Here is a 14,858-nt window from a genome sequence, read left to right on the forward strand (position 1 = left end):
GGACCTTTAAGGAAGTGAGGTAACCATCAAGGTTAAGTGAGGTCATCAGGGTGGGTCCTGACCCAATGGGACTGGTGTCCATAAGAAAAGGTGTGACACCAGACATGAGCACACACAGGAGAGACCACCTGAGGACCTGCAGAGAAGGCGGCTCTCTGTGAGGCAAGGAGAGAGTCCTCGGCAGAAACCAACCCCATCAGCACCTTGATCTTGGACTTCTAGCCTCTAGAGCCGTGAGAAATACACTTCCATTATGACAGCCCGAACAGACTGACACGAGGTTGTCCTCAAGCATATCCGAGACACCCTGAGACACCACATGAGCAGGAGGCTCGCCCTCCAAAGGCACCCACTCCCTCTGCAATCCTTGCTCCTCCACCTGCATTTTTGGTTTTATGGGGAGTTCCCTAAAACAAGCTGAGGAATGAAAAATGGAGCCTGGTGTACAGATGGTTCTGCATACTAGGCTGGTGCGGCGGGCCCGGGCTCAGCATCACAGCCCTACTCCAGCTGGCCCTGATGGACGTGGTGGAAAGGAATTCCATGCAGCTGGCCAAACTTCAAGCCTCACACCTGATTATCCTCTCCTTTACCTGGAGGGACAGTTGATGATCAGGGGCTTAGAAGGCACAGGTTTGGAGGATTGGAGTTGAGGAGGTATGTGGACCGACAGACCGTGTGGAGGGGTCTGGAGGTGAGGGGGCTTTTGTGCTCCACGTGCGTGCTCCCCAGGACTCCTCCTGCACCTGCAAGCTCGGTGGGGGTGGGGGTGGGGGTGGGGGGCGTGGTTCAGGGGATTCCCAGCTCTGCAGAGGTCGCCAGCTCTGCTGCTCTATCCCAGCCTTTCACAAAGCGCGCATCCGTGTGGCCGTGGTGGCGTGGATGGAGATTATACGTGGGCTGAACACCAACAAGTGGGTGCGGACCTTCCTCCCGCTTTACCCTGAAGTCCCAGCCCGGAGCACGCGGCCGTGGTGAGCTGCGATCCCAGGCCCCGGCGCAGCGCTGAGACTGTGGCTCTCAATCCGCAGCAGCTGCTTCATCTGCTCAATGCCAGACTCCAAAAAGCATTTCTCTCGCAACAGGCCAGGGGAGGCAGCGTTCGGGGATGGGACGCCAAGAGTTAAGGGTGAGGCCGCACGCGTGCAGCTCCCCCGTGCTGCGCATGGCGCTGGGATCGGCCTGAGCGGCGGGTGAGTCCCTCTAAGCCGGCGGCGCCCGGTGCCCGGCTCCCTACGCGCGCCCCGCGGCCCCCGGGCTATTTTCAGCCACGCCGAGCCCTGTTTTAGGAGCTTGCACAGCGGCTCCGCGGAGACCGGGACTGCGTGGGGGAGGATCGCGGCGGGGGCCGTCGCCGAGCAAGGAGCGCGGCCGCGGGGACCGCCCGGGAGTGGGGGCGGCGGGGCGGGCCGGGTTCGGGGCTCCTGCCCGCGGTGACGGTGACGCGCGCCCCCGCCCGCCGCCTCTGCCATGGCCGATCCGGTCCGTCGGACGCCGCCCAGAGTCGCTCGCGGGGAGCCTCGGTGAGCAGCGGCCGGGGTGGGGCCGCGACCGGGGGCCGGGCCTCTGCGCTGCGTCTGGCACGGTGCGTCCGGGACGCGGGCGCCCTGGCGGCCGTGGGGCGGGCGGGGGGCGACGTCCCGAGGGAGGGGGTCCCGCGGCAGAGACGCCCCTGTCTGGGGCGGGGTCCTCCTTGCCTCTCCCGGCGGTCCCCCCGTGGGCGGGTCCTCTCCACGGCACCCCCTGCCCTGCACAGGCCTCGGCGCTGGCGTGACGCGGCCGCTGGGTGGGGCCCGCGCAGGTGCTGGGCCAGGGCTGGGGACCCGCATCTCCGTGTCTCCGACTGTGCCTCCCGCGGAAAGGGGCGCCGTGCGATTATTTTTATGTTGGTGTCTGGTTTTTAAATTTCACAGCCCCCATTTCAGGGATGGCCAGCGTGGCCGTGGGATGCTGACGATACGGGAAGCCAGAGAATAAAGGCTTTGGTGGAGGTCGGGAGGAGGCGCCGGCCTGGACAGTTTTCCTAGAAAATATTCTCTGCGTGTACCCGCGACCTTGCCTCTCGTGGAAAGCCGCTGGGAGTTGGAGCGGCTCCCTCCTGCCCCCGTCTGAGGTCTGGCTGGCTGTTTTCTTGGTGAGGTGCTGGAATGCACAGGAGGCTCTCCTAGGCAAGCTGTCTGCAAATGTAAGAAATGGGGTGGTGACGCGCAGACCTGGGATTCGCTTGCAGAACCTAGGAAATCCGTTGTCATGGAGGGAGCCAGGGAGCTCTTAGGTGTTGGGGAAGCCTCCCTCCACCTGCGGGTGGGTGGCAGGAGGAGAAAGTGCCAGGCCGTGTGTCTGCAGGGGCTGAGGATTAAACGCAGGGGTCAAAAGACCCCTGCTGGATTTGGTGGTGAATCAGTGCTGGCTTTGGCAGCTGGGGCAGGATTCCCTCCCTCAAGTAAAGGGCAAGTCGGGCTGCTCTGCTGACCCCTTAGTAAACTGGAGTGGGGAGGGCGGAGTGTCTCCAGGAGGCTCAGCGGAAGGCGGGCAGGCACCCTGCAGCCCTTTCAGGAGGAAGAGCCTGGCCAAGCGCATATCTGGTTTGGGCTTCAGTTGCCTGGGCCGCAGCGCAGGCTTCCCCCTACCCCTGCCCCGGGGGCCTGGCCCAGGGCTGCTCTGGGGCTGTAGAGAACAGCAGTACCAATTGGCCCCGAGTCGGTTGCAGCCTTTGCCACAAATCTGGAAGAAGCCGGGAATGTCACTCCTTGTCTGGCCTGGTCAGCTTTCTACTACAAAGTAATATGCCTGGCAAGAAGCAACTTATGTAACAACAAGTTATAGTTTGGAGTTCATTGAGGATATAGTTTGTTTTAAGTAGGATTTTTCAAGCAAATTGATCTGTCCATGGACAAGCTTCCTGTTTTAGGACATTATTTATATTGAAAATAGCTGCCCAGACATGATTCTGGCTTTTATTGTCAATTTCCAATGATAGCCACTGAAATCCAGATTTTGAAAGGGAAAGATGAAGAGGACTGGTGGTGGGTTCCGTTCAGGTGGGTTCAGTTCAGCATGCCCTGCAGTCAGCGTTTCTCACACTCCAGGTGCCCCGAGGGAGCCCACGCACAGGGCACAACCCCCACGGCAGTCAGCTCATAGTCAGCAGGTTCCAGGCTCTGGGGTTTGGTCCCACAAGTGTGCATGCATGACACTTTTGCAAGATCTAGGAGTTTGTGGAAAATGGCATAACAATAAGCTAATTTTTAAAAAAAGACGACACAAAAGAAATAGCGATGATCAAAATAGTCAACCATGGCCAGGTGTGGTGGCTCATGCCTGGAATCCCAGCACTTTGGGAGGCCCAGGTGGGTGGATCACCTGAGTTCAGGAGTTCTAGACCAGCTTGGCCAACATAGTGAATCCCTGTCTCTATGAAGAATACAATAATTAGCTGGGCATGGTGTGCCTGTAATCCCAGCTCCTCGGGATGGTGAGGCAGGAGAATTGCTTGAACCCAGGAGGCAAGAGGTTGCAATGAGCTGAGATCGCGCCACTGCACTCCAGCCTGGGCAACAGAATGAGACTGTCTCAAAAAAAAAAAAAAAAAAAACCATCATAAACATACTTGCTGCATGTATGGCAGGCTCTGTTCCATTTCTTTACCTGTGTTACGGGGTGTGGGTGTCCCCCTGTTAGGGTACAAGAGCTGGGCTGCAGGGGCTCAGGAGAAGCCCGGGATGGGCTGGGAAGAGCTGCAGAGGCAGGTGGAGGCCACACCCTTCACCCAGCGGAGCCGCTCGTGAGGCCACACGGGGAACCAGGCTCAGGCCACATCAAGGAGCATGCAGTTCAGCAAGGGAGGAGGTACAGACATCGCCTAAAATCACCAGAACTAAGGAGTGTGGAGTTGCAAACTCAGCATTCGAACCTCTGTCTCATTTTTAAAAATATTTAAACATTTTTTTAATAGAGACAAGATCTTGGTATATTGCCCAAGCTGGTCTTGAACTCCTGATCTCAAGTGATCCTCCTGCCTTGGTCTCCCAGACTGCTGGGATTATGGGCATGAGCCACCGTGCCCAGCCAGGACCTATGTCTCTTAGCTGTGATTCAGGAACTTAGTCACCTCAGCTTGGGCCCGGATCCCACACCAGGCCCCCGTCTGCCCTGCCTTGCCCCCTCCGGTTTTGACATCCCCCCATACCTGCAACCCCCAAGCAGAACAGTCTCAGTCAGGCCACCCACCGTTTCCCAGTAAGGCCAAGGGCTAGACCCTTTCTCCCATGGCCCCTGGACAGCGTGGTCCCTGCAAGGCTGAGAGGCCTGGCCCTCTACACGTGCCAGGACTTCCTGCTGCATGTCACCTGCCTGTGGCTCACTGGCTTCCCTGGCAGAGGTCTCTTAGTACAGCAGCACATCTGTGCACTCCAGAGAGGCGACCCCCACTCCCTCCATAGCGCTGGGCTGTCAGACCAGTGAGGTCTGAAAATCTGGCTGGCCCCCGATTCCCTACAGCGGCATCCAGCAAAGGTCTTGAAGATGGGGGAAGCTTCATTTCTGGCCTCCTCTCTCGGCCTCCAGCCGCTGTATTGACTTGGCTCTTACAGCCTCTCTGGGTTGCCCCCACCTCCACGCCTCACGTGCTGGGGCGCCTCTGCAAGTCACGCTGTGTGTGGAGGTCTCACTGCTCCCCAAGTCTTTGCCATGACACTAAGCACTTGGGTTCCTTCACAAGCTCGTGCTTCTTTGTTTTGTTTATAAAAATTCTAAAATTTCAGAAGGCTGGGATGAAGACAATCAGTACTCATAACTAACACGTGCCCAGGTGACTGCTGTAAGTCATTAGGTGCTGCTGTGGACCAAATTGTGTCCCCCAAGTTCACAGGTTGCGCTCTGACCCCCAATGTAATGGTATTGGGGGGGTGGGCCCTTTGGGAGCTGACGGGGTGAGATGAGGTTATAGGGTGGGCCCCCAGGATGGGATGGGTGCCCTTACAAGAAGGGACATGGGATCGGGCTCTCTCCACAGGGCACAGAGGCAGCTCTGTAAGCCAGGAAGGACCCTCACCAGGAACCAAACCGGCCGGCTCCTTGGCCTCAGACTTCCAGCTCCAGAACTGCGAGAAATGTCTTGTTTAGGCTGCCTGGTCTGTGGCATATTGTGATGGGGATGAGCTGACCGAGACAGGGCCCTCCCCTCGCTCCGTATCTATACATCTGCTGGCTGCCTGCTGACCTCCTGACCGCTGATGGGTTTGCAGACTCCCCCAGCCACACACAGAGTTTGGATCATGCTATAATCATTTTATATCCTGCTTTTTAAAAATGTCATATTCATGAGCATTTTTTTACTATTCAATTGTTTCTTTAATCAGTTCCTTATAAAGTATTTTGGGTTGATTTTAATCCTTTACAATTGTGAACCACTCCCGATGAGCTTTTTTTTTTTTTCATTTTCATTTTTTTTTTATCGTGGTAGATAAGAACACTTAACATGAAATAAATCCTCTTAAATTTTAAGTGTACGACACTTAAAGTGTCAATGACCCTTGGTGGTTGGTGCAGGTTCAGCGCAGAATAGCAGATTTCTGGAGGTTATTCCTCTCACTTAACATTAACAGAAACTTTTCTCTGTTGAGAGCTCCCACTTCCTAGCCCTGGAAGCCTCCCTTCCAGTCTTTATTGTTGTGATTTGACTATTTTCAACACCTCATAGAACTGGAATCATGCAGTACTCGATTTTCTGTGCCTGGCTTATTTCACTTAGCATGGTGTCCTCAAGGTCCATCCAGGCTGCAAATGGCAGAAGCACCTGTGTCTCGCGGCTGAGCGGCATTCGTCAGATGTGCACACCACATTTTCTTTCTTTTTGAGATGGAGTCTTGCTGCCACCCAGGCTGGATGGAGTACAGTGGTGTGATCTCAGCTCACTGCAACCTCTGCCTCCTGGGGTCAAGCGACTCTCATGCCTCAGCCTCCCAAGTAGCTGGGACTACAAGTGTGTGCCACCATGTCCAGCTAATTGACACCACATTTTCTATAAACATTCATCACCTGTTTATTTTAAGGCTTTCCTGTGGATCAGACAAACTGGAGTGCATATGTTTCAGGGAGTGGAGAGCTGGCTGGGTCCGGGTGGGCTGGAGTGGGTGGTAGGTGCCAGTGGGAACAGCCAGGGTGGGGAACCCTGAGAGGAGGTGAGAGGATGAGGGCGGCTGTATGCAGGATCCCGGCAGCATGGGCTGTGTTCTGGGAGCTGCTGCCCCGGACGGGCACAGCGGTAAACACCAGGAGCCAGTGTGGCCCCTCTGCCGCGTGTCCCCACGCCCTAGGAGGTGCATCTTCTGGTGTTGGGAGTATGGGAGACTTGGCTGGGGCTGGGCCAGCAAGGCCGACACCCCCACTCCTTTCCTGCGGCTGGTGGCATCATTGAGCACCACGGTCAGGAAAGCTGGAAACATAGCACGCTGGCCCCGTGGCCCAGGCTGGGTGGGCATGTGAGCTGCTAAGAGAATTTCATCGTCCGTTATAGCTGGCCTGAACTGTCGCGTGGCCAGCCTGTGCCAGCAGACACCTGCTCTGCCTGGGATCCCACCTCAGGCCTCTTCCATGGCTGCTTGTGTTTCTTTTCTTTCTATCCTTTCTTTTCTTTCTTTTTTCTTTCTTTTCTTTTTTTTTTCTTTGAGAAAAAGTTTTGCTCTTGTTGCCCAGGCTGGAGTACAGTGGTGCCATCTCGGGTCACTGCACCCTCCACCTCCCAGGTTCAGGTGATTCTTGTGCCTCAGCCTCCCGAATAGCTGGGATTACAGGCATGTGCCACCACACCTGGCTAATTTTTGTATTTTTAATAGAGTGGGGGTTTCACCACATTGGCCAGGCTAGTCTTGAATCCTGACCTCAAGTGATCTGCCAGCCTCAGCTTCCCAAAGTGCTGGGATTTTAGGTGTGAGCCACCGTGCCCCGCTAGTTCACTTGCTCGCTCGCTCCTTCCTTCCTTCCTTCCTTCCTTCCTTCCTTCTTTCCTCCTCCTCCTTTCACAGGGTCTCTGTCACCCAGGCTGGAGTGCAGTGGCATGATCATGGCTCACTGCAGCCTCCACCTACTGGGCTCAAGTGATCCTCACACTTCAACCTCCTGATTAGCTGGGACTACAGGTTTGCACCACCACGCCTGGCTAATTTTTGTATTTTTGTAGAGACGGGTCTCTCTCTTGTCCATGCTGGTCTCGAACTCCTGGGCTCAAATGATCTGCCTGCCTCGATCTCCCAAAATGTTGGGATTCCAGGCGTGAGCCACGGCGCCTGCTGTGTTTCTCTTTTCATCTTCACTCCTCTTCATGGTGCGGCCACCCTGGATCACCTGGAGTTCCTCCCTCCCCATCCTGGCTGCAGGGATGAGTGCAGGCTCTCAGGAACCAGGGACTGCGTGGGGAGAGGGCTGGAGCCTGTGTCCTCTGATAGCCAGGCCATAGCATCCTGGAGCAGCTTTGGAGAGCCCGTCTGTTCCTTTCCTCTGGTTTTAGAGCTCTCTGCCATTGTAACTCACCCTGGATCATTAGGGTATTAGAAATAGTTAAGAAAACCAGGTGCTTGAAGAGCTGTTTTGTATCAGCTTTACTTGGCTGGTCCTATAAAAGGCTTTTCCTTTGGGAGCCCAGGGTGGGTGGATTGCTTGAATCTAAGAGTTCGAGACCAGCCTGGGCATCATGGCAAGACCCCATGTCTCAAAAAAAAAAAAACAAAAATTAGCGAGTTATGGTGGCACGTTCTTGAGGTTCCAGCTACTCGGGAGATTGAGGTGGGAGGACTACTTGAGCCCAGGAGACAGAGGTTGCAGTGAGCTGAGATCACACCACTGCACTCCAGCCTGGGCAACAGAGCAAGATCCTCTCTCAAAAACACAAAAGGCTTTTCCTGGTTGGGAAGCTTTGTAATAGTTTATTTCTGAATGTGGCTGTGTTTTGTTCCCTCTGCTGGTCAATGTATTTTATAGGCTGTTTGCATTTTACTTTTTAATTTTTTTCTTTTTGAGTCTCACTCTGTCACCCAGGCTGGAGTGTAGTGGTGTGATGTGGGCTCACTGCAGCCTTGACCTCCCAGGCTCAAGTGATCCTCCCACCTCAGCCTCCCTAAGTGCTGGGATTACAGGCATGAGCCACTGCACCTGGCCCTTTCCGTTTGTGTGTGTGTGTGTATGTTTGTGTTATACAAATCTGCACTGTACCTTTTGTATTATCCACACATGGTTTTTAACCTGGGCTTTTCTAGGTTGAAGTCTGGTGCAGCACCGCAGAGAATCCAGGGGGAAACGGGGTTGGATGCTGTTGCCCCCAAAGCACTTCTTTCCTGTTTTAGTTTTTAAATGTTTTTCAGTCCTAGTCAGGATTCCAGCAAAGCATTTCTCTGATGAGAATCCCACAGGCGCCTGGGCTTTACCAATGTGGGGGTCCAGGAGCCCGTGGACACAGGCAAGCCCGAGGGAAATGTTTTCCACCTGGACACAGCATGACGAGGAGGGCTGGGGGGAGCGGGGCCCTTTCCAGCCCTGGCTCTTCATCAGCTGGACCATGTGGGGAGGAAGAATTCTCTGCCCCGCCCTGGGCTTCAGGCGTCGGTGTTAATGATCTCCTGGGTTGTTTTCCTTAACATTTGAATTAAAATCCCAAGAGGAGAATAAGGATTGGAAATAAGCTAGGAATTGAATCAAGTTGAGTTTTTTGCTTTTTGAGCAATGAGATTCAAGATCTTTCCTCTTATCCTGCTGGGCCTGCGTTTGATCCCAGCATGGTCCCAAAATCCATCCAAAGAGGGCAGGAAGTGCACAGACCTCGGGGTTCAGTAGGCTCTCAGGCAGTTCAGATACCGTGTGTGCAGTGGCGCTTGTGGCCCACCTGGGGACACAGGCTGCCGCCTTGATGCTGCTCCCCTGGGACCAGCCCGATGCCTGGTGGGGGGGCTTCTCTGGGCCCTCAGCTGCCCTTAGGGCCGCCCTTCCAGGTGGCTCGCCACAGCTCCTGCTCCAGTGCCCTTAGCAAACATTTCCTAGACACGTCTCCTGGTCCAGGCATCGTGGACCTCCCTGGGGTGAGTAGTCAACACAGACACAGTCCCTGCCTGCTGGGAGTGGCCAGTGGCTGAGACAGACACAACTTCAGCCGTCGTGCAAACAGGTCATCTTAGCAGTGACCACTGCCACCAACGAGTTGTCACAATTCTGCAAGAGCTCGTGACGGGAGCTCACCAGTCTAGTAGGGAAGGTCAGGGAAGGCTGCTTGGGAAAACAGTTATGGCTGGTGCAGAGGAGGGTGCGGCCGGTGCAGAGGAGGATGCAGGAGGAGTGGGAGAAGCCAGTGTGGCCCAAGGGAGCTGGGGTGCACCTGGGACTAGAGCAGGCTGGGGTCCTGGCGCGGGCTCTTCCTCAGGGCAGCAGGACGCCACCACATGCTGCGCTCAGGATGGAGGTTTTGTTTTAAATTGTGGCGAAATACACATACAAGTCACCATCTGAACCATTTTTAGGTGTGCGGCTCAGAGTAGGGACAATCGCAGTGCTGTGCAAACCACCTCCAGAACGATTTCATCTTCCCAAACGGAAACTGTACCCCCCACCCAGCCCCTGACACCCCCACTGGTCTTTGATTCCTTTAGGGGCCTCAGCTGAGTAGAATCATGGTATTTGTGCGTGTGTGTGACTGGCGTGCTTCACCGTGTTGCATGCGCGTCAGGATTTCCTTCCTTGAAGGCTGAATCCTACTCCACGGAAGGGATGTGCGTTTTGCTGACTCATCATCCGCGGGTGGACACTGGGGGGCTCCATGTTTCAGTCTTGCGAATCATGCTGCTATGAACAGGGATGTGCACATGCCCGTCCGAGATTCTGCTTTCAGTTCTTTCATCCCGTTTTCCACAGTGCCTGCCTCAGTTCAGGTTCCCACCAGCCGTGCACGAGCGTTCCAGTTTCCCCACATCCTCACAACGCTCCCTTTCCATTCTGTTCCGTTTTGATCCCGGCCATCCTCACGGGTGAGCAGGTGGCTCGCTGCAGCTGGGTCTGCGTTTCCCCGGTGAGCAGGGATTCTGAGCCTGTTTCATGCTTGTTGGCTGCCTGGATGTTGGCTTCTCCCTTCTTCCTGATGTGATTTTGGGCGCGTCTCTGTCTCCCCGGCAGATTTTAAGCTCCTCTAGGAGAGGGTCCGAGGCTGACTTAGCACTGCATCACCCTCTACCCGCACCTGGCACAGGTGGGTGCTCAGGAGAGGCAGCTTCCCTAATTAGTGAAGGGCACATGTGGTTGTGCTGAGGCCCTTGTGTCTTCCAGCCCTCAAGGAGAGCCCGCGGTGTGAGCTGAGGTGTCGAGAGGGAAGTGTACTGAGGTCTGCAGCTCACTTGGAAGTGAATACAAAAGTATGATATGTGTTTATAATTCTTTATTTCAAGAATATACTTTAGCTGGACACAGTGGCTCATGCCTATAATCCCAGCACTTTGGGAGACCGAGGCAGGAGCATCTCTTGAGCTCAGGAGTTCCAGACGATATTGGACAATATAGTAAGACCCCATCTTTACAAAACATCTGGGAAAAAAATTAGCTGGGCTTGGTGGCACATACCTGCAGTCCCAGCTACTCAGGAGGCTGAAGTGGGAGGATCACTTGAGCCAGGGAGGTAGAGGTTGCAGTAAGCTGAGATTGCATCACTGCACTCCAGCCTGGGTGACAGAGCAAGATCCTGTCTTAAAAAAAAAAAAAAATACACACACTCTTTATATTCAGTTTAAGGTAAAATTTACACACAATGAAATGCATGGATCTTGAGTGAGTTTTGATAAATTCACACACCTGTGTAACCCACACCCGGCAGATATTACAGAACATAGCCATCAGCCTAGAAGGTTCCTGACACCCCCAGCTTCCACGCTCCCACCACAGATGCATTCAGCCACTCTCTGACTTCACATAGATAAAGCCGTCCAGGGGCCAGGTGTGGTGGCTCATGCCTGTAATCCCAGCACTCTGGGAGGCCGAGGCGGGCAGATCACAAGGTCAGGAGATCAAGACCATCCTGGCTAACACAGTGAAACCCCCGTCTCTACTAAAAATAGAAAAAAAATAGCTGGGCGTGGTGGCGGGCACCTGTAGTCCCAGCTGCTGGGGAGGCTGAGGCAGCAGAATGGCATGAACTTGGGAGGCGGAGCTTGCAGTGAGCCGAGATCGCGCCACTGCACTCCAGCCTGGGTGACAGAGCAAGACTCCGTCTCAAAAAGAAAAAAAAAACAACCATCCAGGGCGTCCACTTTGCACCTGGCTTTCTGTTCTCAGCATCGCGTCTTGGGTCTTCCATTTCTGTGTGTGTCCAGCTCGCCCAACCTCACCGCCTCGTGCTGTTCAGCTGTGCGCATCCGCCACGGCTTATTTATCCATTCTCCTAGTTTAGGCTCTTTTAAATCAAGCTGTCATGAACTTTTAAGTTTTAAAATAATTTTAGATTTACCACAAAAGTTGCAAAAACAGAAGAGAATTCTGTATACCCTTCACCCAGGTTCTCCTAAGGTTTTCTCAACCTAAGAGGAAGAAGCTGAGGCAAAATTAACCCAAGTAGAGAGCTATCTGGGCCAAGCTTGAGGAACTTGCCGCTTGGGAACACTGATTAAAGTTGCCCTTAATATACACTGTGATTAGCAGCAGTTACAACTGGATTTTTTTTTAGTTGAGGTCTTGCTCTGTTGTCCAGACTGGAGTGCAGGGGCATAATCAGAGCTCATTGCAACCTTGTACTCCTGGGCTCAAGCAATTGTCCTGCCCCAGCTCTCCTGAGTCACTGGGACTGCAGGTGCCACCACACCCAGCTATTTAAAAACATTTTTTTGTGTGTGGAGACAGGTTCTCACTATGTTGCCCAGGCTAGTCTTGAACTCCTGGCCTCCAGCAATCCTCCTAAAGTGCTGGGGTTATAGCCATGAGCCACTGCACCCAGCCACAAGCAGGTTTTTTAAGGTAAAAAGGCGGGGCAGGGAGTGGACTGATATAAAGTTGTTTGTCAGAAATTCTCATTGGTTTGCAGAGATAACATTGATTGGCATTGGCTATCCATAGCTAAGCTACAGGCCATGGGTTATAGTGTCTGGTGCAGCATTACTGCGTTAATTGATAGTTACCGTGGCAATAGCAGTTTCCAGAGAGGAACGCATAGCTCAAAGTGGAGGAGTAGGGCATGACTGCTGCTTCGTTTTAATGTGTCTCTGGGCCTGATCATTAAAAGGACCTGCATACTTCAGATAAAGTTCTTTTTCTTTCCCAGCTAGCATCTCGTACAGCCACAGTGCATTTGCCAAAACCAGGACACTAACATTGGTACAACATCATCACCCAAGCCACACACCTGTCCTAATCCCACAGGTTCCCGTGGACATCCTCCTCCTGACCCAGGGTCCCCACCCCCCCCTGCGAGTTGGCGGTGTACGGAGCTGTGTGTCCCCACCCTCCCGTCCCGCCCCCCGCAGGCTGGCGGTGTACGGAGCTGTGCGCCCCCACCGCGCCACGAGCTTTCAGTGCACAGAACTGAGTGTTCCCCACCCCACGCCCCGCCCTCTGCGAGCTGAGTGTCCCCTCATGGAGCTGTGTGTCCCCCCACCCCGCCACGAGCTTTCAGTGCACAGAACTGTGTGTTCCCCACCCCCCGCCCCGCCCCCCGCGAGCTGACGGTGCATGGAGCTGGGGTGCGCGGAGCTGTGTGTGTCTCCTCGGGCTCCTCCGGCTGTGGCGCCGCCTGTGTCTTTCCTTGTATTGTGTGGCCTTGGTCCTTCTGAAGACTTCTCGTCTGTTATTTCATAAAGGGTCCCCAGTGTGGGTTTAGCTGGGGTTCTCTCGTGACGGGAACGAGGTCGTGCATTTTGGTAGGAATAGCATGGATGGTGCATCCTCCGCGTGGAGCAGAGCAGGTGTGATGTTGAGGGCGATGTTGCTGGACCACGGGGCTGAGGTTGTGTCTGCTGGTTTCTCCTCGGGGAAGGGGCTTCCTTTTGGGAAGTCCCTGTTCAGAGCTTTCCTCCGTAGTTAATGGCTCTCCGAGCGCTGCTTTGAGACTGTGCAGGGCCTGCTTCTTGGGCCTGGTTCTTGAGTCTCTGCTCCTGGCCTTGGCACCGGGTGCTCTCGGGCTCCCAGGCACTGGCCTGTCGTGCTTTTCCACTCCCTGCGATTTGCTGTAAGGAAAGGCTGTTCCTTCTCCCCATTTGTCTGTTTGTTTATGTCAGTAGGGACACGTGGATACTTATTCCATGGGCTAAAATCCGGTAATGACAATATTTGTTTTGTTAAACAAATCACTCCAGCTTTGAGCTTCAGGAGCTCCTGGCTGGCTGCTGTGTTCTGTTGACCAGCTCATCATGGTTTTGCGGTGTGTGTGTGTGTTTTGTTAAGTATTTCCTTACTTTCTGGAACCATCAGAAATTCCAGGCTTGACTGTTTCTTTTCTTTTTTTTTTTTTTTGAGATGGAGTCTTGCTCTGTCACCCAGGCTAGAGTGCTCCGCCTCCCGGGTTCACGCCATTCTCCTGGCTCAGCCTCCTGAGTAGCTGGAACTACAGGCACCCGCCACCACCCCCGACTAATTTTTTTTTGTATTTTTTGGTAGAGACAAGGCTTCACCGTGTTAGCCAGGATAGTCTCGATCTCCTGACCTCGTGATCCGCCTGCCTTCGCCTCCCAAAGTGCTGGGATTACAGGCGTGAGCCACCGCGCCCGGCCTGGGCTTGACTGTTTCTAAAATCCTTAGTCTATGCTTTCTTTCGTGGAGCTTTTTTTTTTTCTTTTTAATGTTGCCACATTGTTTCTTTACTTCTCTGCATGTCCTGAAAGCCTGCTGCTGGTCCCGGCCGACTCCATCAAGTTAATTGACCTTTTTGCCTGGAAGCCTTGAGGATTTTATCTTTAGCTCTGAAATGGAATAGTTTCACCAGCATGTCTCAAAGTTGGTGGTCTGGGTTGATTTTCTAGCGGCTGGCGAGCTCTTTGCACCGTGGATTCGGGTCTGTTTCTATGTAGGGACGGTCTTCCGGGAGCACAGCTATAGCTATGAGCACTGACCCACGGCTTTGCTTCCCTTCCTTAGGGCTGGGAGTGCTGCCCTCCTCCTCACCTTCCACTTCCTCCTCTTTCTTGCTGACCTGTTACTTTTCTCTTTATGTCATTTTATTTTCTTGTTTCTCCCCTTGCCTATTCTTCAACTGCCTCTTATTAAATTGTCGTTTGTGTTATTCTCCCTTGGGCATCTTACAATTTATTTCTCATTTTTGAGATGCTTTTTTTTTTCCTGAGTTCAATACATTCTTTTTTCATTTCTCTGATTTTTTGCCCTAAGCTGTTGAATTCCTAAATCGGGGTGTTTTTCCATATCCTTGAATGCTGTTTGCGTGTGCCCGGTTCTGTTTGGATGTACAGGTTTCTTCTGCCTTGTGTTTTTTCTTTTTTAAAAGTGGGGGAGGTCTCACTATGCTGCCCAGGCTGGCCTCCAACTCCTGAATTCAAGTGATCCTCCCACCTTGGCCTCCCAAAGTGCTGGGATTACAGGAGTGAGCCACCCTTCCCAGCCCTATGGTGGTTTTTAACAGGGAGGGAATTTGTATCAGTTCTTTTTCCTGATTTTCTTCCATAGTCTTCTGTGACGTTTTTGTTTTGGCTATTTTTGATATTGGGATATTTTACAAGGTTCCCAGCTTAATGAATCCCTTTTCTGTCAGCCTGGCGATGTCCACACATTTTAGTGAGGTTTTTTTGTTTCGTTTTGATGATGGAGGTTTGTGAATATTCCCAAGTTCATGGTCATATTTTGTCTCTCAGGACCTTATCTCTTTCTCTCTCTTTTTCTTCTTTTCTCTTCCT

The 14,858-nt window shown here is 53.4% G+C and overlaps 1 protein-coding gene across 7 annotated transcripts in view, besides 3 other annotated features; it reads left to right on the top strand.

Annotated features, from left to right (window-relative positions):
• Positions 1-1,148: 1,148 nt before the first annotated feature.
• Positions 1,149-14,858, top strand: part of JAKMIP3 (Janus kinase and microtubule interacting protein 3) — a 148,495-nt gene continuing 134,785 nt past the window's right edge. For 6 of the 7 annotated variants that reach the window (NM_001392043.1, NM_001392055.1, XM_011539676.3 and 3 more), the window contains exon 1: positions 1,149-1,193. The gene's annotated coding sequence lies outside the window, so the exon portion shown is untranslated. Of the gene's footprint in view, positions 1,194-1,461; positions 1,524-14,858 lie in introns of those variants that run through there. The other variant, NM_001392044.1, reaches the window with a different exon arrangement.
• Positions 3,871-4,708: an enhancer, noted in NCBI's record as "H3K4me1 hESC enhancer chr10:133852590-133853427 (GRCh37/hg19 assembly coordinates)". NCBI's record gives its function as "activates a minimal SCP1, AML or CMV promoter by ChIP-STARR-seq in naive H9 embryonic stem cells {active_cell/tissue: H9 hESC(naive)}" and the evidence as "EXISTENCE:reporter gene assay evidence [ECO:0000049][PMID:30033119]".
• Positions 8,850-9,367: an enhancer, noted in NCBI's record as "H3K4me1 hESC enhancer chr10:133857569-133858086 (GRCh37/hg19 assembly coordinates)". NCBI's record gives its function as "activates a minimal SCP1, AML or CMV promoter by ChIP-STARR-seq in naive H9 embryonic stem cells {active_cell/tissue: H9 hESC(naive)}" and the evidence as "EXISTENCE:reporter gene assay evidence [ECO:0000049][PMID:30033119]".
• Positions 9,368-9,885: an enhancer, noted in NCBI's record as "H3K4me1 hESC enhancer chr10:133858087-133858604 (GRCh37/hg19 assembly coordinates)". NCBI's record gives its function as "activates a minimal SCP1, AML or CMV promoter by ChIP-STARR-seq in naive H9 embryonic stem cells {active_cell/tissue: H9 hESC(naive)}" and the evidence as "EXISTENCE:reporter gene assay evidence [ECO:0000049][PMID:30033119]".

The sequence above is a fragment of the Homo sapiens genome, chromosome 10 (genome assembly GCF_000001405.40).
Source record: "Homo sapiens chromosome 10, GRCh38.p14 Primary Assembly".
In the NCBI taxonomy this organism is placed as follows: Eukaryota; Metazoa; Chordata; class Mammalia; order Primates; family Hominidae; genus Homo; species Homo sapiens.